Source organism: Homo sapiens, chromosome 12, assembly GCF_000001405.40.
Source record: "Homo sapiens chromosome 12, GRCh38.p14 Primary Assembly".
NCBI lineage: Eukaryota > Metazoa > Chordata > Mammalia > Primates > Hominidae > Homo > Homo sapiens.
Genome location: NC_000012.12, coordinates 59,665,099 through 59,688,029, shown reverse-complemented (window position 1 = coordinate 59,688,029; position 22,931 = coordinate 59,665,099). Strand labels below are relative to the sequence as shown.

The following is a 22,931-nucleotide window of genomic DNA, read 5'->3' as shown; positions in this document are numbered from 1 at the left end:
AAGTTACCAGGTCTTTCTTCTACCATACACTTACGAGTGAATTGAATTGGTAGATTTTATTTTTGTTAATACTTATTTGTCCCCTACTCATACTTGTCATATTTCTCTGTAGGCAAAGTATAGCCCCCATCCATTGACTTTAGGTTTGGACATGTGACTGCCTTTTGCCAATGGAATGTAAGTCAATGCAGTGTAGGCCATGTCCAAGAGTATGTTTAAAATGTGTTTGCATGTTTTGCCTTTATAGCAGTCCTTGCTTTCCAAAATAAGAACATGTCCCTTTAGCCTGGATCCCAGAAAATAAGAAAATGTTTGACGGTTAGCTGAGCCCCTCAGAACCAACCAGAGCCACAGCTGACCCATAGTGCCTAAGCAGCATGGGCAAGAAATAAATATCTGTTATTGTAAGCCCTAAGAGATTGCAGTTGTTTGACAGAATAGCAAAATCTGAGCTAGGGTGCATAAAACAAAATCCTGAGAAACACATTGGCTTCAAGGATGGGCAGGCAATAGTGAGGAATCTGTTAGAAGAAGTTAGAAAAATGGCAAGTTATGTTAAACAGTAACAAAATATTTGGTAAAACTTTTCCCTGATATCTTCAAATGCAGAAAATGTACACAATGTATTTGGGGCTCTGGGAAAAGAGGTTTGGAGATGTTGCTGCTTGCATGAGTTGGTGGTAATTAGCTACATTTAGAAGGTTACTATGGAAGCAATAAGGCCATAATAGCAGGATAGCAGGGACAAAAATAGGAAAAGGGGTAGGTGTTACAGGACTTGCAGGATTGAAAGATATTTTCTGCCCCCACCCCCCACTTAGCTTTAGCCTGGTAAAAGATTCTCAAGTTAAGACACTCAGGACAAGTAAAAACAAGGTCACTAAGCCAAGGAAAAGATCAAACCAAGAGTATGACTTTAGCATTTTTTTTTAGTTTATATGATTTTATTAATATATTTCTTAAATTAACAAGTAAAAATTATATATATTTATGATGTAAAATGTTTTGCTATATGTATACATTCTGAAATGACTACATCAAGGTATTTAACGTACATAGCACCTCACATGCTTATTTTCTGTGATGAGAACACTTAAAATCTACTCTCAGCAATTTTCAAATATATAATATATTGTTATTAACTGCAGTCACCATGATGTATAATAAATTTCTTGAACTTATTCCTCCTAACAGAAATTTTGCTTAGCATCTCTTAAAATCTTTTTGAAGGATTAAGTCAGACACCAGTAAGTCTTTTCAGTTTAAAAAAATAGTCGGGAATGTAGCAGGGAAAAGAGATCAATGGTGTGGTCTCATGCAGGTCTGATAAACTTGAATTTTCTATAATGAAGTATATAGCGAGAGGCATGTCTTTTATAAAGAACCGATGGTACTATTATTTGTATTAACTGGAACTAAATGATCTTTTTAATGTTTTTAAGAGTATTATACTGCAAAACATGCTACTAACCTGGATATGGAAAGGAAAAGCGACTGTTGGAAATGTAAAATGACCAAGTGATTAAGATGACTCAATATCCAGTAACTTGCTTTATGTGATGTGCAAAAATATAACCCTATGTGGTATTTAAAAACATATATCACAGTAAATGTCACTAAAGTGTTGTAACGTTTTGGCCAAGCGATAATAATACTGGATCTTAGTTTCTTTATTTGTAAAAAACACAGTGCAGAACTTAGTATTCTGAGTCCCTCTGAGCTCCCATACTTTGATTCTATGACACTAAAATAGTTCTCTTATCGGCTGTCTTAGCATGTAAAACACAAATTTCTTCCCTGCTCTAAGAAAATGCTACTGCCATTCAAAATAAGTAATAAACATATGGACAGTGTTTCAACAACTTTTCCAAGCTCCTAAAAACTATGGCGACAGAACAGGGACCCTCCCCTGCAAAAAAAAAAAAAAAAAAAAAGAAAAGTTCTTTTTGAAAGAATCACTTGAAGAAATTACATTATATAAGCAGACAGGGCCTGTGCTTAACAATTAAATACTAGAGGCTCCCAAAGGCCAATTCTTAGTTCCTTAAGACTGCTTAGAATTTTATTATATTCTCAAATCACAATTTAGTTTCCATAAAAGTTATGATATGAGATCCTCAGAGAATCTGGTATATGTTTAGATAATTTTTCATTCATGAAGATTAAATTATTAAAATTTTTTATGCTATTTAACAAAATATGTTCCTATAAAACTGGTACAATTTAGCTCAATATTGCAAATAAATCACATGAAGATTTTTTTCAAAGACAGAATGAAAACAGAACCTTGTATATTGTATATTCAAATATAAAAGAACTAATATTTCAATTCATAAACTATGTATGTTATTTAGTTCCCTGTATTTGCCCAGTTCATATACTCTTAAAGCAAACATTTATACTATACGACTAGCAGGTGGGAATCATATCAACCACATGTTGTTGGATAAAAATATCATGATCAATAGCATTTATATAGCCACAAAATATGTCATAAATAATGCATAATAGTTGACTATTTACAGACAGTCCAAAATGTATTTCCTTTTTCAAGCTTCTATACACATTTTATAACAGTGAGGTCTATTCACCACCAGCATTTCCTATAAAGGATCAAAAAAACCCATTAATGTAAGAGGCAAAGCTGAAATAGATCATTTCCATCGCATTCTTTAAACATCAAGATTCACTATGAAAATCCTCTCCAAGGAAATGTCACATTAAATCACAGAATTTACAACTTCAAGTCCTTATATTTAGAATTTGTTATTGTTACATAATAAACACTAAACACTGATAATGAAGTTGGTGCTGAATGGAATAAAAATGATCCCATAGTTAAATATAACCTAAATGAAAGCTATAGGAGCTGCTAAAATCAGTTTGTTGGATCCTGCTTGTCACTTATGGAAGATGACCGGAAAGAACCATCATCCTAAACACAGAGAAAAGAAAAACTTCTCTTTTTCTTTTCCCCATACCTTCCTGTACTAGTCAAGATTGTGAGTCTCCCCTAAAACACATCAACAAGCACACACAGTCCTCTGGGGATTGATGGCATACCTGTACCACACCAAATTAGAAGTAACAAAATTATTAGGAACATTTTGTCTTTACTCATTGTGTCCATTTTTCTTCCCCCTTTGCCTCCCCCTAAAGACCTGTAGGCTGGCCTCTTCCAGGTTTGGTGACAATAGGGAATAAAATATATCAATAATGCCAGGCATCAACTTGATACTAATTTAATTTCTCAAATTTTAAATTATTTTATTGTTTAATTTTGTTTCCACCTTGACCTTTCCTCCTATATCTGGGTATCTGCCCATCATCCTAGACTAGAGATTTCCCTGCCTGACTGGGTTCCACTCTGCCCCAGTCTACACACTCATGTTTGCTCTGATTTTGCTGCAGCGTGGAAAAGTAGCTCTGTGTTCCTTGTCCTAACACTTCTTCGATACATCTTCACTCTCCACCAGAGACACTATGTTTTTCTGACCTTTGGTTTACCAACCCCATTCACTCCAGCCTGAGAGACAGCCCACCAGCAGCTGAGTGGGGAGCACCAGGTTGCTGTCCTTCCTACCCTGCTCACTAGAAGGACAACATTTCAAACCTGGGAACAGCAGGAAGGAGATTTCTACCTTCTATCAGAAAACCTTTCCTTTCTTTTCTGTCCTAGAGGAAAAGGAGTCCCTCTCATGCTAATCCATTTACTTATGATTTTTAATGAAGTCTTTTGTCTTTCTAAAGGATTTGGTGTCAGTAATTTTCACACTTTATTTTTATCAGTCTTTTCTAGTTATTTTCTTAGCCTACAAAATGTGTATATTTCTCTGAGCCTAGAAAAAGTAGGAAAAATGTCCTCTTTTAGAGTTGCCTTTATCTTGAGCCACCACTAAATTTCCTTCATTTTCTTTACTTCAAAGTTTCATGCAAGAGTCACGTTTCCTTGTAAACTCTACTATCTCACCACATTGGCATTGTGAATTTCTTGCACTGGGCCTTTCTCTTAATAAATTCTGACTGAATAAATTCTTTCCTAAAGATGAGCTATAGCTTTCTAATCTCCAAAGCCACTGAACCTCATCTAATTACAATTTTTAATGGTATGTAATAATATTCAGTTGTACCTTGTACTTGAGATTTTGCAGTCCTTGGTTTCTCACTTACTATATCACTATTCTTTCTTCAATGGCTACTTTTCCTCATTAGGTCCAACATATGTGGGTTCTCATAAAGGTTAAATTGTTGGCTCTTTTCTCTTTACATACCCCCCATTATATTATCTATCTCTATAGATTCAGTTACCACTTTTATTCAAGGTGTGTTCCAATTCTCTACCTCTTGCAGTAATCTTTTTCCTAAATTTAAATTCTTCATTTATTGCTACTTCCTAGATATTTTCAAATGGGCACCCCACTGAAATGTTACATTTTTGAGTTTGTACATTGTAGGAACAGTTCCTAATCTGAAAAACCCCAAGTCCTTTCTTTAATAAGTAATTCCCTTTAATAGCTCTTGAATGCATCTTCTTTTTTTCATTTCTCTCTTGATCATCATGGTTCATGTGCTTTTCACCTCACACATGGACAACTTTAATAGTCCCTTAAAGGACTGTCTCACTTTCAGTTTCCCAACCTTGCCTCCCATCTTCTGGCCTCTCTCCAACACATCCTAGCAGGATTAATCTCGCAACAGTACTTCTCAGATTGGGTCACTCCTCCATCTTCAATAGAAGGCATACCAAAATTTGACTACCTTAAATCTTTCTTGCCTATTTTTCATAATTTCATACATTTTATTCAAATTGCATAACACTCTATCAGAAGACACCAGTCTCACAGGATGTTGACAGGTATTACATGGAAATGATTGGTAGATTTGAGAAATTTTCTGTTAAATGTTATATTTATTTCACAATTTCTCAACATCTTCATTATGTCAATATGCAATTTTTTTTTTCAAGACAGAGTTTCACTCTTGTTGCCCAGGCTAGAGTGCAATGTCATGATCTCAGCTCACCGCATCCTCCGCCTCCCAGGTTCAAGTGATTCTCCTGCCTCAGCCTCCTGAGTAGCTGGGATTACAGGCACCCACCACCACGCCTGGCTAATTTTGTATTTTTAGTAGAGACAGGGTTTCCCCATGTTGGTTAGGCTGGTCTCGAACTCTCGACCTCAGGTGATCCCACCTTGGCCTCCCAAAGTGTGGGATTACAGGCGTGAGCTACTGTGACTGGCCGCAATTTGTTTTACTTAGACAATATAGAACTCCTAGACTTGCTTTCATGTACAAAGTTTTTTTTTCTCAAGAAAATCCATTTTCCCTCCATTTACCTGACCTACTTGCATTGTCACATGATGAAATCACACCTATCCTTCCACACAAATAGGTGGCACCATTTAAAATAAAACTGAATTATTTATAATCATTTCTAAGAAAGGAAAATCTCCCTTCTCTAAATTCTCAATTAATATTTGATTATACCATACTACATTTCATTTTTGAAATTATTCATGTCTCTTTCCAAATCTAAACTATAAGCATCTTGAGACCATGAACAGTGAATAAATCATTTATATTCACTATAGCGTCTAATACAGTGACCTCAGCCCAAGGAAATAACCTCATGTCAGGATATGCTGAACTTTACTTTTTTATAACTATTCATAAAATTATTTTTTATAATAGTCTTCTGTCCCCTAAGATGTTAAAATTTATGTATGTTTAATTATATAAACTAGCACTTAAAAATAAAATGACAACCCTAACATGTAGTTTGTTATTCATGCAATCCTAAAACAGACATTGCTGCTAGAATCATTATCTGCAGATAATGATTAAGTTTAGATCTACTCAATGGATTTAGTTTAAAAGCTGAATGTGTTTCCATAAATGAGGTACAGGATTCACAAAGTACTAAGTACAGCTAGGTAAAGAAATTTTAGTCTTATCAAAAGTTTTTCTAATGACCAGTAGAATTCTACTTGGAATTTCTAGGGTGAGTTTAACCCAGTTCCTTTGGGATCAGCATGTAAAATTCATTTTCAAAGACCTTGGGGAATGAAGCTGTGTTATGAGATTCTCGGGGTCTCAGGACTCTAATTGGCTCTAAGCTGGTCCCTACAGGTGATAGAAATAGACCTATTCTGAGAGGAGTTCAGACTGAACTGAGCCATGTTCCTCAGGGGCCTAAGAAAAAATGACCTGAATGCTGTTGATTCCCTATATGCCCACAGCTGACCCTCTCAAAGAAACCAGTGACAGAGAGATCCCTATCCAAATATAAGAAATTAATAAAGAGTATACATTGAATCACTGTTTGAAATACTATGTTCAGTAACATTTAAACTTGAAAGGAGCTGCAAGGTGAGAACTACTCTTCATTCCGTTTCCTTCCATCCTCTTCCCCATGCTTAAATCTCTCTAACTTGTAGGGATCTCCTGATGAACAGGAATATTATTACAGGAAATAATTTGGTTAGGAAAAAATACTAACAATTGTTCCACAATTTTTTGAAGCAGTTCTATAAAAACATATTTGCAATGAGCCACAGAAGTATCTAGATAAAAAAAAAAATTGCTGGCACAGGTAAAGCTGGGACTCCCAACTGTATGCTTACAGAGCTAGTGTACTGACAAACATCCTAGGAGTTTATTTGCATGAAATGACAATTTTGTTTGCTTTGCAATGTGGCTAAAGACAGACAGGACAGTGCATGGATGCCCAGGAGGGAGTAAAACAATAAACAAGATGGATGACATGGTACATACACTTGTCTCGCCTGCAGGAAAATTTGAGGTTCCAGGGGATAGGTGATTAAGAACTGATGCTACAGAAGCTGTTTTCACAAAATACTTTGAGACTCTAAACACAATGATGTTTTAAGATTCGGATGGTCAGGTGTGGCATGGATTTGAACAGGGGTCATTTTTTCCATTGGTGCCTGCACCTCAGCTTTGGGTCTTTGGGAATCAGTTACTTTGGAAGCACTAGAGGACAAGAACTTTACATAGGCAGTGTTTTTTGTTGCTGCTGTAGTTTTTTCCATTGAGGGCATTATCAATGGTGAGAAAGCAGTAGTGCAAAAACTCATTTGACCTCTCTTTCAGCTCATGTGCTTCCCAGAAATATTTGGTGGAGGAATTTACAGAGAATTCAGGGTCATAGAAAAGGCAAATGAAGGGTGAACAGCCAGAAGAACTACAATTATTACTATCAACCTAACTCCATTTTTAGTCATCAGTTCATCTATTCATTTGTTCAACAAATATCAATTGAAATCCTACTATTTGTCAAGCACAGTGGCTACAGGGCTAAAAAAAAAACATGAATACATATTTTAGTAGAGGAGAGAGGCAATGAGAAAGTTAAAAGTGTAAATAAGATAATTATAGATTGCATTCTATATAAAGAAAATAAATACGGTATTATAATAGACATTAATCATTCAGGGATAGAGGTAAAAAGAAAAAAGTTTGCAAGTAGAGAGTGGCCAAGAATGTAAGAGGTGGAGAAATTTTCATTTTAGTTATTCTGAAGAGTAGAGGCTAAAGAACCTCCTTCTCTCCTATCTGCCTCCTTCTCAATCCAGAACACAATAGCAATCAAGATAACACATTTTCAGTCTAAAAGAAATAAGACTAGACATAATTCCTATAAATTCCAAGGTTATTTTTCAAATCTGGTTAAATAATATCTTGAAAACACTACATTGGAAAAAGTCCTCTATCTTCTGTGATGTTCGGCCCCAGGACTCTTGGAAGCTCTCAGGACCACCTCACTGATGCCCTGTTTCATTCTTTCTTGGCTATGAATCCCACAGACTTGGACTGGTTTCCACTTTTCCTGTCCTTTGCCTCTCTATTCTCTGTAAAAGTTCTATTCTTGGACATTTTGATTGCAAAGTGGGATAGCCTCCCTAACTTGCTTTTCCTTGATGCCAGTAAAGTTAGGCAGAAAACGCCTTTATTTTTCAGGTTATTACTAATCATTACTGTGGAAAAACACATGAGCATTGCAAAAATGATTAACATGAATAAGTTCCACAGCTTGGAGTTATGGAATATTAACTGTGCTGGTCTTCAATTACAGATCCTGCCTGTCTCTGAAATGATCGTTTCAGTGGCAATAACTTTCTACCTTGGGTTTTTACACTTAGAAGTAACTCTTACTATGCTTCTTTCTTAATTCTAATTTTGCCCTTATGATTAAATCAAGGTAAAACATTGCATTTAATGTCTTGTTGTCTCCAGCATTCATTAATTCATTCATCAAATATTTATTTGGTATTTCATTTTATGCCAAAGACTGTGCCAGACTTTGGAAATACAAAGATGACTAAGACATAAGATATAGTTTCTGATCTATAAAAGGACAAAATGTAGGAGGTAATTATAAAGTAGATAATTACATCATATGATAAACATCATGAGACAGGTAAGTTCAGATTTCTAAGGGGCTAAGAGGAGAATAACCTAACCTAGATAATGACAGTCAAGAAATTATAACAAGAAGAGTTAAGGTTGCACTCAACTGTTTGAACTGCCTTGAAGAATGAGATTAACTCTTGGGATAAGTTCAGGTAGGGTGAAATTGGGAGTAGTAATAGGTAACAAAAAATGCCAGTTGATGATGGCAGTGGTGGCCCTTCTATAGTGGCCACTGACATGATGCCAGCTGCAGTGGGAGGGGTACGGCTGGGGCTCCAAATAGCCGGGAATAGGCGGAAGTCCCACTCCCTTCTGACTTGGCAAGGCAGAAGTCTTGCACTCCCTGGGAGCAGCTGTGGCCACTGAGCCATGGCTGGGGACCCGGCCATCCCTGTGCTCTTGGGTGCTGGAGGCAGGCAGGAGCCCTGCCTTCCTGGGTGCAGCTGCAACCACCCAAGCCACACTGTGGATGCTGGCATCTCTGCACTCTTGGGGGCCTAGGAAGGCCCCTCTGCCCCTTCAGGCTCAGAAATGCCTGCTCCCACAGCCTGGCTTCTCTCTGCTCCTGCTGCCTGTTCTGATCTTGGAGCAAAGTTGAGGCCAAGCCTGGGCACTGTTGCAACCCAGCTGGGTGTGTGTTCGCTCAGGGCAGCACTGACATGCCAGCCACCTGTCACCTCAGCCCCTCTGGGCTTTGGGCATCAACAAGCACAGGAGGGAGGCAAAGTGGGGGCTGAGGGCAGCTCAGCACTGGCTTGCAGTCACCCCTTGGCACAAGCAGCCTGTGCATCATGAACAGCTTCAGAAGACAGACTCCTGGGCAGAAAGGGATGGGTTCCAGGTGAAACCCCACCTTCAAGCTGGGGAAGGCCTAAAGCTTGGGGGCCAGGCTGCCAGCCCCAAGGACCAGAATGGGAAATTATGGTGCTTTTCCCATGCCTACCCGTGGCTGCCCATGAGCCAATCAGGAGGCACTTCCTCCCATCTGAAGCCCATAAAAACCCTGGACTCAGCTAGACTCAAAGAGACGATGGGACAACCTGCCTGCGTAGAAGAGTTACTCACTCCAGAGTCTCCTCTCTGAAAAGAGCTGAGCAGACATCGGAACTACCAGCCGCAGAGAAGAGTTACCCATTTCAGGGTATCCTCTCTGCTAAGAGCTGAACACTCATCGGGACAAGCTGGCTGCAGAGAGGAGCTACCTACTGCAGGTCTCCTCTGAGCTGTTCTATCACTCAATAAAACTCCTCTTCACCTTGCTCACCCTCCATTTGTCCACATACCTCATTCTTCCTGGACACAGGACAAAAACTCAGACCCACTGAATGGTGGGGCTAAAAGAACTGTAACACAAACAGGGCTAAAACACACCCCTTCCTCGCCATGTTGCAGGCAATAAGAAGGAGAGAAGAGAGAGGCAGAGAAGAGCTGTGGCCCTTCAGGGAGCCCAGACCTAGGAGTTCCCTGAGCCAGGGCTGTGACCTCAGCCAGCATGCCTGGCTCTGCACAGTGGCTGAGCCCCACACTTGCTCACTCACATGTCCCTCACTGCTCCACACCTGGCTCACCCTTGGCAGGTGTGATATTCAGGCCAGCAGAGCAAGCCAAGTGCAGCCTGCCAGGGCAAGCGGGTGGAACGAGTCCACCAGGCTCAAGTAAAAACTTGGGCAAAGGTGCCACCAGCCACAGAGGTTTCTGGCTTGTGAAGTGACACCCAAGGATCCTGTAATATTTGTATGTCCTGGAAGTAAGAGACACCATGGCACCATGACCTATGTAGTTGGACATAAATGAGGGTAGAAAAGCACACAGCACATTTTTCTTAAACCTTTCAAAATTACTTACTGGTTTTTGAGTAAGGGAATGATTTGGCTAGTTTGCATTTAAGAGATAGGGTAAAGAAGACAGTTGAAGACAGAAGTTATAGCAACAAACTATTAGATTCTACTGCAAGTAATCTAGAAAAGCCATGACAAAACAGTAGCCTTGTGGAAAGACAAGAGGGAAGATTTGAGAGCAATTAAGGAACTAGAACCTTGCTGTACTTTGAAGGTGGATGCTAAAACTAGTGGAAGAAAAGAGAGGGATTGAGAATGAGACAGATATTTGACCTGAAAGACTCACTGAAACCATTTATTTCTTGAGACAAGTTTTAGGTAAAAGAAGATAACATGTTTAGTTTGGAATAAGTTCCAATTTGGAGTAAGCTATAAATACCACTAGCTTTGTTAATAAACATTTGCATGCAAGGTTTCAGAGCTCCTTAAAAAAATCTCTTTAATATTTTAATGTTCAATTTTCAAATTTTTCCAGTTTAAGTGTTACCCCTTCCAATATGCCTCTGGCCTACCCAATAATGATGCATTGGACCAACCTCTTCACACACAAACCCTGATTTTGTCTTTTTACTAGAAAGGAAAATGCAGTTCACAAAAAGACTGCACTCCCAAGATCTCATCCTAGATTCCATTATAAATTCAAAGTATCAAAAATTCATGATTCATTAAATATTTCTATTATAAGAAAAAACACATACACACACACGAGCAATGGGCTAAAACATATAATAAAGTTTAAAATAAGCTGTCTCTGTATGGAACAGGGTGCAGATGAAACAGGAAAGGAATAAACTCATTTCAAGTGACATTCTAGTAAGTTCTTCAGTTGAATGGTAGTCCTCTGGATATTAATTATGTTAATATGCTTTCTACCTTATGCAAATGTTACTTAAAATCTTTTGCATTTAATGAAAGATTTTTAAGTAACGTTTGCATAAGTAGAAAGTATAAATTATATAGGAAACTTAAAATAAAAATATGTCCCTTTACCTACTTAGTAGATACAAATACTCTAGGAAGGAATTATGTATTATCTGTACTCCCTCCATTTTTTGCATTTTGTTTCCTTCTTTAATGTCACATACTTTAATTCTTAAAAAATTAAACATTATAATAACTTAGAGTAATTGAGGAGTAAAGAAAAGCGATTTATTGTTCTCTATTTTCCAGAAATTAAACTTTGTTAGTGGGGGCTGTACCTAATTGTTTATAATTGTTCTTCACATCCATTTGGTATGCTTGAATGAAAAAATGGTTAAAAAAATCCATTATTACTGAATAGATTTTATGTGAGTAATAGTTTGCTGTTAGCTACAATTAAAAAAAAATCAGGAGCTACTTAACATCAAAAGAGAAAAGAGCAGAAACCATGTCAGCATCCTAAAAATAATTGTACTTTAAAAAATAAAAGTTCAATTTAAAATATTAGTTTACTCAAAATGCACATATATTCAATACAAAATTTTATTTTTTATCCAATTAGTGAAAGAACATAGTAAAAATACTAAAAATTGAAGTAAATTGTTTTTACCTAGAACCATAATAAATCAGAAGCAAATTCTGTCAAATGTTAGTCATTGAGAACATCAATCTGTACAATGACTCTGCTGTCAACTTTAGGTTTTGAGACTTAATCATTTCAGGAGCAAGAAAGCCATAAGTCATATTTTACCCAAGAGACACTTGGGAACACATATTCAAGCTGTTACCCTCATAAATTTCTTGACAATTTGCCTGAAGGTCAATTGGCAATGAAATAATAAAAAATTTAATTTTTGAACAGATTATGTGAAGGAAGATTTAAAGAAATATTTAGTCATTTGGCTATATATATATATATATCTGGGGAATTTGCAATAGCTGCAAAACTAGTAAACACATAATAGTCCTGAAGTATACTTAATATGTAAGTGCATGATGTGGAAAGTGGAAGTGCTAAATAACATCAGGACATCTGATCCAGGTCATTTTTTTTCTAAAAGTGTTCATTTAAAAATTTTTTTATATCAGAAGCATAGTTCATTAATGTATAATCCCTACACAGATTTTATTACATCATGAATTATATTTATTCAGACTGTGGCACAATTATGGTTGATTACAAAATAGGCCACAAATGGTTCCCCTCTCTGTATCTTCCTCTTTTAACATTTTCCTTTTACCTTTACTTTGAGGCTTGAACATGTGATCTGCTGTGTATGCTAGTCTGCACTGGCTGCCATAACAAAATACAGTGGTGGCTTCAACAATGGAAATTTGTTTTTTTCACAGTTCCGGAGGCTGCAAGTCTGATATCTGAGTGCCACATGGTCAGGTGAGGTTGAGGACTCTTTTGCTGTGTGCTCACTTAGCCTTCCTCTGTCCAAGAAAAGAGTGAGAGAGATCAAGTTCTCTGTTGTCTCATAAGGGCACTGATTTCATCAGAACAAGATGCTACCATCACGACTTAATTACCTCCCAAAGGCACCATCTCCAAATTCCATCACACTGGGTATTTTGGGGGTACACAAAGATTCAGCCCATAACACTACGATCAGTGAATAAGACAATAAGAAATATGAAAATATGAAATAAGTAGATATTTGAAACCATTTGTGCATTTGAGCCTGTCCTCTCTCATCAGGTCTTAAGGATGTCTTGGGACCCTTGTCATCACCATGCTATGAAGAAACAAACTAGCCTGCTGGATAATGACAGGCATACGGCCTTGTTCTATCATTGCCCTTGTTGACCCAGACTCGCTTAGTTATGGGTAAGATGACCTGAGAGCTGAGGATCAGACCTACCACTTTATGAGACACCTGTAACTGAGTCTTAGTATTTTAGAAGTCCTAAACCCTCTAGCATGTTTGAATTTGATCTATCTTCTGTCCCATTGTATCCACTGTAATCTGGGATACGAGAATATCATGTGAGTAACAGCCTTCCCAAATGTACTCCTATCTTTGTAGCATGACTTCTATCTTGACTGTTGGTTTTCACTCCAGTTCCCAAAGGACTGAAATCCTTGCCTAAATTTTAGCCCTTTTTATTGGAACATAGATCTCCTGCCTTATTTCTGCCATGCTGCTCCTCTTTTTTGCACCTTCATCCCAGCACCTCTTACTTTAGAGAGCTGATAACGCTGTAGAGAATTTTGACTTAACCTAAACAGACCTACTACCTATACATATAACATTGGTGCGCTGACAAAAAATATTAGCGCAGTTCAGATTTCCTCTGCTTTCCCCACCTGACTGGCCCTTTCAAATATCAACACTAGTTCATGTGTAATCTAAGCTCCTTGAACCTAGTGATATGGATTACCTGTCACCTTAAATAGTTCTATCAACAAAGTTTTGTGAGAAGAAGAAAGCCTCTTTCTATCATTTAATTCACAAATATTTATCAAACAGCTCCTATGTGGCAGAAGTCCAGTGTGCTAGCACTAGGGGTACAAAGATGAAACAAGATATAGTCTATGCCTTCATGGAGTATATAATCCTTTTAGAGATAATAACAAGGAAAAAAGAACGTAACACTCTATGGCAGCTTTTCCCTGCTAGAATTATCTGAATCCTTAAAAATGGAAAATTGTTTTAGTAGCTATTTTCTTAGTTCTTCTAATATTACATAAATATTATGCAACATAATGCAAAAGAGAAATGTTAATTCAACATAAAATGGATAAATCAGATGTAAGGTTTAGGTTATTAGGGAATAATTTTCTCATCAAAATCTAGTTGGGAAAAGCTGCTCTATAGTAATAACTATTGTATAAGGCAGTATAACTAAATCAGACTGAGATCATAAAAATATTTTGGTTGAGGCTTGAATGATGAGCATGATTTCATCAAGTGACAAGGAAAGAGTAAAAAAATCCAACAAGAATATTTGCAAAAATTCCTCTCAAGAGAGATGATGATATCCTTGGAGAACTAACAGATAAATAAATGCCCTCTTCCAGTTAGATAACCAATGATGTCCCAACAAGTATCACAGCAAAGACCAATAGAGACTTAAGTCATTTGAAGAACTGATACACAGAATTGAACATGCAGTGTCATCTTTATAAACCTGTTCCAATATTAAGTTCAGTGTATGGGTAAGAAATGAATATTGCAATATTTTATTCATCTTTGTTAACGTCCTTTTGGGTTATATGAGACAGTTTTTTCACTCCTATGATGTTAGGCTGCACAAAAGAGAAGAAAATATACTAATTAAGTGCTCATGTGAAATATTTTATTGCTAACAAAAATTACTAGAGATTACTTGTGGCCAAAAAAAAAAAAAACATGTTTGCTGACAACTTGCCTAGTCTATAAGTAACACAGGGTCCTACCTACTGAGTTAGGGCTTAATTTTGTTCAACATCATGGGAGTCACTTATTCTATGTTATGGCACATTCTGACTAGTATATTTTAGAATCAACTTCAAGAAATAACTGAATCTATTTGCCAATTATTGTCAAAAATAACAGCTCAATATTTATTATGCCAAAACCAATTCATCAATTTCAGCAAATGTTCTACACTCAGATATAAAATGCTAAAAGTTTTGTTCAAGAGGTTAGCTTCATTATACGTGGAAATATTATGTAGCAAAATCGTTCTGACATGCTTAATATACTGCTCAAAATTATAAATTTCATAAGAACCTTGTAAGTTACTTTATTATAGAGGCGATGGAAATGAGACATTAACCTATAAAATATCCTGAGTCAAAGTCAACTCTTTTATGCTTTAGAGTGCAGAATTCTATGGCTTTGTTAAAGCTCAGGTCAAATAGCTGACTAGATCCAAAACTGCATTTGAATTAAAGTCCTTGGACTACTATAAAGTACACTTGCAGAACTATCTTGAAAGAGAGATGGCACAGCCTTCCATCCAGGTAAGAATACAAATAAAGCTCTTTGATTATTATATAAGAATGTCATTCTTGCAACCCACACAATTAGAATCCAATGCATATCTAACTGCAATAGGTAATACAGAACTGTGATGCACTTTAGATTTGATTATTTGCTATCCACCCTTAGTCCAAAGTCAGCCAAAGAATCAACATGTTGCTGTAAATTTACATGTGAATGTAAACTCTCTTCTGCAAGCACATGGTGATAGAAACATCTGAAAAGCAAAAAACAAATTAAATATCTAACCTAAATGATGATAATAATAATAATATCAACAAGAAGAAGAAGCATCTCCATTGCCCAGAAACAGAAGGAAAACACAGCATGGTGAAACAATGAGCCTGCTGGAATGTGGGACTGGAAGTAGTCAATGAAGCAGAAGTTCATGCTCTACATGGTAGAGGGGGCTCTAAGTACTCCACACAAGATGGGAGATAAGAAAGTCTGTCTCACTGATACAGGCCTAGCGCTGGTCCGGCCTGCTTTCCATACCTTCAAACTGTATTCAAAATATAAAACTTACTCAAAAATAAAACTGTTGCTCATCAACACCTGAGAATATATATATACACATATATATACACATATATATACGTATATATGCATATATACACATATATATACGTATATATGCATATATACACATATATATACGTATATATGTATATATACGTATATATGCATATATACACATATATATACGTATATATGCATATATACACATATATATACGTATATATGCATATATACACATATATATACGGATATATGCGATATATACACATATATATACGGATATATGCGATATATACACATATATACGGATATATGCGATATATACACATATATACGGATATATGGATATATACACATATATATACGGATATATGGATATATACACATATATACATATATACACATATATACATATATGGATATATACATATATACATATATGTATATATACATATGTACATATATACATATATACACATATATACATATACACATATATATACACATATATACATATATACATATACACATATATATACACATATATACATATATACATATACACATATATATACACATATATACATATACACATTATATATACATATATACATATATACACATATATATACACATATATATATACACACACACACATATATATATATAGAGAGAGAGAGAGAGAGAGAAAGAGCACTGTAGTCAAAGGGACACAGGCAGAACTTTACAACAAAAACTGATTGAAGCTACTCCATGGGCTTAAAGCCTAAATTCTAATAGCTTCCAAACAAGTACAGGAAGTGAGAATGCATTTATGCTTCAAAAACTGCTTGGGAAAATTGTGCATATCTTATAATCATCTATTTTAATCCTAGGTGTGCACAGTTGTGCATGAGAAGAAATACAAAGGAATGTTTATAGCAGCATGATACATAAGAGTCAAAAATTAGATCAATAGAGGAATGTATATCAATAGGGGAATTGGTAACTAAAGTATACATATTCATAGAATGGAATTCACAGAAATTAAAATAAATGAGCTAAAGCTCTATGTTTGAACCATATCATTTCAAACATATTATTAAACAAATAAAGCATGTGGTTTTCTAAAAGGACTAATTCAGATGCCATATGTGAGATTTGGTAACTTGTAAAATGATATCAATAAAATATTGTATAGGGAAGCATACATATGTAATAAACCATAAGAGAAGAATAAAGAACCTCGAATTCAGGAATAGAGATGCAGATTTACAGAAATGACCGTAGAGGACCCTCTTGTCTGATGGCTTGGACCTTCATGAATTGCACAAGAGGCTGACAAGTGTTTTTGAAATTATTTTATCAGCAGAAATGCATAGAAAGAAACAGAGACAGGATGACATGAAGAGAGAGGAGACTCATGGATGCAGAGGTCTTGGTTAAGGGAATTTCTTATGTCTAGAGGGCAGGCCCACCTCCTGGGCTCCAGCAGTCAGGGCTACCAACCAGGGTGGAGGGGGCAGAGTTACTGTCTGGACCACCACGATGAGCCCAGAAGACAAGGTACTGAGCCACAGATCATGATTGCCAAGCCTTGCAACCTAATGGAATTTGTCCCACTAGGTTGAACTTGTTTTAGACCAGTGAATTTAGACCAGTGACACCATTTGTTTTTCCTTCCAATTTCTCCTTTTTGGAATGAGTATGTCTATTCCCTATCCATCCCACCATTGTATCTTGGGAATAGATGACCTATTTTCTATGTTTCACAGATTCACAGATGGAGAGGAATTTTGCTCTGGGATGGGCTGTACCCCAAATCTCACCCATAATTGATTTAGAGAGAATTTGCACTTAAGAATTGATGTTGGAATGGTTAAGACATTTGGGAATGTTGGAATCATATGTATGTATTTTACACGTGGGAAGGACTTAAATTTGGTGGGGGGGGTGGATTGGAAGGCAGGCTGTGATTACTTCAATTGTGTCCCTCAAAAAAGATCCCTTGAAGCTGTAACCTCCAGTATCTCAGAATGTGACCTTATTTGTAAATAAGGCCAACGCAGATGCAGTTAGTTAAGATGAGGTCACAATGGAGTAGGGTGAGCTTTTATCCTGTATGACAGATGATCTTATAAGAAGACAGCCATGTGAAGACACAAACACAGGGAAAATGTCATTTGAAGATACAGGCATAAATTGAAATTTTACTGCCACAATCAAGAAAAGCCTGGGTTTACCAGAAGCTGGAAGAGGCAAGGGAGGATATTCCCCTAGAAGCTTTCAAGAAAGCACAGCCCAGCTGACACCTTGATTTCAGATATTTTGTTTCCAAAGGAGAGAGAATAAATTTCTGTTGTTTTCAATTACCCAGTTTATGGTACTTTGTTATGGCAGCCCTAGAAAGTGCTTAATAAGAACTTGTAATCTACCAGGTACAGTTTTATATAAATTCACATTATTCTCACACTAGACAAGGAAGGTAAGCATTATTATTATTCTTATAACCCCCAATTATAGTTCACTTAACAGAAGTTCTTACAGGTTATGTGACTTATCCATGATTTGCAAAGCAAGTTAACTGTGCTGCTGAGACTTTAAGCTTGGTTTTCTGACGCCTTCACCCTTTACAGCATTGAAAGTATTGATAGCCTTTGTTTCTCTCCCGTTTAGATAAATCGTGTGTGTGTGTGTGTGTGTGTGTGTGTGTGTGACTATCTATGGGTAACTGCTAAAGAGCCTCAGTAAACTTCAGGAATTCATGAGGCATACCTAATACTGGGCTAAAGGAACAGAGACAAACTTTCTGATGGTTAAATGTATTTGTGTAATCTGAAATGGAAACTGAGAAGCATGTGAATATTCAATGGCCACAGTGAATTAGACCAGCACTTAGTTATTAATATGCGAAAGCCAGGCTCTGAATATAAATATCTAATACTAAAAGATAAATTGAAGAGTCTACTAAAAACAAAAGAAATCTATATATACCCCACTTTAAAAAACCACAATCTTAATTGTTAGAGACCCAATAACAAACTTGTACTTTTTAACATCATGGAAAATAATTGTTTTATCTTCAAATTGTATGTGGATTGTTTCAACCTTGAAATGAATATGATTCACATGTATTTATATATTTTGATATTATTCATACTTTAAATTTTCTTGAATAGTAAAACTTCAGCCATCTTAATGTTTAACTTATAAATTATGAACCTGTCAGCATGGCTTTGGTGTGTATCTAAATGAGAACTGGTAATACTCTCTGTATTAGTCCGTTCTCACACTTCACATAAAGACACATTCAAGACTGGGTCATTTATAAAAGAAAGAGATTTAATGGAATCACAGTTCCACATGGCTGGAGAGGCCTCAAAATCATGGCAGAAGGCAAAGGAGGACCAAAGCCATGTCTAACATGGCAACAGGCAAGAGAGCATATGAAGGGGAACTCCCCTTTATAAAACCATCAGACCTTGTGAGACTTATTCACTATCACAAGAATACCCGCTATGATTCAATTACCTCCCACCAGTTCCCTCCCACAACACATATTATGGGAACTAAAATTTGAGATTTGAATGGGGACCAAAGGCTAACTATATCATTTCACTCCTAGCCCCTTCCAAATTTCATGTCGTTTTCACATTTTAAAACCCATCATGCCTTCCCAAAAATCCCTCAAAGTCTTAATTCATTCCAGCATTAACCCAAAAGTCTACATCCAAAGTCTCATCTGAGACAAGGCAAATCTCTTCCAGCTATAAGCCTGTAAAATCAAAAGCAAGTTAGTTCCTTCCTAGATACAACTGGGGTGCAGAAATTGGGTAAATATGCCCATTCTAAATGTAGAAATTGGCAAAAAATAAAGGGACTACAGGCTCCACACACATCCTAAATCCAATACGGCAGTCATTAAATCTTAAAGTTCCAAAATGATCTCCTTTGATTACATGTCCCAAATCCAGGACATGCTGATGCAAGAGGGGGGTTCCCGTGGCCTTGGGCAGCTCTATCCCTGTGGCTTTACAGGGTACAAACCTCCTCCCAGCTGCTTTCACAGGCTGGAGTTGAGTGCCTGTGGCTTTTCCAGGTTCACAGTGCAAGCTGTTGGTGGATCTACCATTCTGCAGTCTGAAGGATGGTGGCCCTCTTCTCATAGCTCCACTAGATGGTGCCCCAGTGGGGACTCTGTGTGGAGCTCTGACCCCACATTTCCCTGCTGCACTGCCCTAGCAGAGATTCTCCATGAGGGCCCCTCCCCTGCAGCAAACTTGTGCCTGTGCATCTAGGCATTTCCATACATCCTCTGAAATCTAGGTGGAGGTTTTCAAACCTCAATTCTTGACTTCTGTGTATCCACAGGCTCAACACCACGTGGAAGCTGCCAAGGCTTGGGGCTTGTCCTCTCTGAAGCCATGACCCTAGCTATATAGCTATACCTTGGCCCGTTTTAGCCATGGCTGGGATGCAGGGTACCAAGTCCCTAGGCTGTACACAGCAGGAGGGGGCACGGACCCCGTCCGGGAAACCATTTTTCCCTCCTAGGCCTCCAGGCCTGTGATGGGAGGGGCTGCCACGAAGGCCTCTGATATACCCTGGAGACGTTTTCTTCATTGTCTTGGTGATTAGCATTTGGCTCCTTGTTACTTAGGCAAATGTCTGCTGCTAGCTTGAACTTCTCCCCAGAAAATGGGTTTTTCTTCTCTACTGCATCATCAGGCTGCAGATTTTTCAAACTTTTATGCTCTGCTTCCTCTTGAACACTTTGGCACTTAGAACTTTCTCCCACCAGATATCCTAATCTCTCTCAAGATCAAAGTTCCACAGGTCTCTAAGGCAGAGGAAAAATGCTGCCAAACTTTTTGCATAACAAGAGTAATCTTTACTCCAATTCCCAACAAGTTCCTCATCTCCATCTGAGACCACTTCAGCCTGGACTTTATCATCTATATCACTGTCAGCATTTTGGACAAAGCCATTCAACAAGTCTCTAGGAAGTTCCAAACTTTTCCACATCTTACTGTCTTCTGAGCCCTCCAAGTCTCTAGGAAGTTCCAAATTTTCCTGCATTTTCCTATCTTCCTCCAAGCCCTCCTGATATGGTTTGGCTGTGTCCCCACCCAAATCTCAACTTGAATTTCATCTCCCAGAATTCCCACGTGTTGTGGGAGGGACTAAGGGGAAGGTAATGGAATCATGGAGGCTGTTCTTTCCCATGATATTCTCATGATAGTTAATAACTTCCACAAGATGTGATGGGTTTATCAGGGGATTCCACTTTTGCTTCTTTCTCATCTTCTCTTGCCTCCACCATGTAAGAAGTGCCTTTCACCTTCCACCATGATTCTAAGGCCTCCCCAGCCACGTGGAACTATAAGTCCAATTAAACCTCTTTTTCTTCCCAGTCTCTGGAATGTCTTTATCAGCAGTGGGAAACAGACTAATACACCTCCAAACTCTTTCAACCTCTGCCTGTTACCCAGTTCTAATGTCACTTCCATATTTTCAGTTATCTTTACAGCAGCACCCCACTCTTTCAGCACCAATTTGCTATATTAGTCTGTTCTTATGCTGCTAATGAAGACATATCCAAGACTGGGTAACTTATAAAGGAAAAAGGTTTAATGGACTCACTGTTCCACATGGCTGGAGAGACCTCACAATCATGGTGGAAGGCAAAGGAGAAGTAAAGGCACGTCATACATGGTGGCAGGCAAGAGAGTATGTGCAGGGGAACTGCCCTTCATAAGACCATCAGATCTCAGGACTTACTCACTATCACAAGAATGGCATGGGAAAAACTCACCCTCATGATTCAATTACCTCCCACCAGGTCCCTCCCACAACAGGTGGGGATTATGGAAACGACAATTCAAGTGAGATTTGAGTGGGAACACAACTAAACCATATTACTCTCTTCTCTAACCTTGAGAATCTCCTTTTGTAAACAGAACTTAAATACCTAAGGAAATCCTAATGGGATTATGTAAACTGAACTGATATATAAATTTAGCAATGCCGAGCATAAATTGGGAAAATATCACTAAACAACTATACCTTAACTGCCAGCCCTTATCTAGATATACTTCAAAATCGAAATGAATTAAGGAATAAAATATGATTTCTCTAAAAAACAACATGAATATTGACTAATAACCATCAACTCGACTTTTCAGCAAGTAAACAGAGAGTTTGATTTTAGTTTTAGCACTCCCAATAACTGTTGTTGTTTCCCTCTCTAGACCTAGTTCCTCATATATGAAATGTTATGTTCTTCCAAATTCCTATCAACTCCAAACTCCAATTGTAAAATCATCAATCATTGCCTGACATTTAATTTCAGTTTGAAAAGAATACAAATGGAAAACTGCATATGTAGTACCATAAGAACATTTAGCTTTTGATGTTTACTTGAATCTAAATCCAGCCAAAGCAAGCTTTTTGGCTTTGGATACTTGCCGAATAAAGATAACAAAGGTCAGACACTTTAGAAAGAACCAAGACACACACACATAGACACACACACACACACACACACACACACACACACGTGTTATATATATAAAAGTTATATGTATATAAAAGTTACATATATGTGTGTGTGTGTGTATATATATATAAATTCCTGTAATTCATGATGCCAGTAACTTAAGCAATGCATCTCTCTATGTTGAGAGCTCAATGAAAAATGATTACTCTGTAAATGTATACAATATTTTTATTTTTAGACACCAGCTGTGAAGACTTTAAAACTTAGTGAGCAATGTCTTTAATTACAGATAATTATACATATAGCATCCCTGAAATATAACTGTACAATAACTTCATATCATACCATAATATTATACTATCCTAAATGTTTTGGATGAAATTACCTAAGTCCTATAATAAAAATCTATTAATTTTTACTATTTTTTTTCAACAAAGTACACATACATAGTTACAAATATAATGATTTAGAATAGGAAAAATAGGTTACTTTTGGCATTATAATATGAAATACAAATAATTTTAGTGATTAAACATTTAGTCTTATTTTCAGAATGTCAATGTTAAAAAAGTTTTTAATTTTCCTTACTAGCCAAGACTTGGCACACTATATAATGTACATTATTTTAAATAATTATGATTAATACATCTTTCAGCTGGTAGATTAAGAACCACAATTGATAGTTTCATAAAAACTTGTAAAAATTCTCTTCCCATCTAATACAATACAGAATCTCTCCTTAGCCTTAACTTGGTGTACTTCAAAAGTAAA

The 22,931-nt window shown here is 37.0% G+C and overlaps 1 protein-coding gene across 7 annotated transcripts in view; it reads right to left on the bottom strand.

Moving 5' to 3' along the window:
• The window catches only part of SLC16A7 (solute carrier family 16 member 7), a 193,813-nt gene that overhangs the window by 101,812 nt on the left and 69,070 nt on the right, over positions 1-22,931 (bottom strand). The window lies entirely within an intron of this gene.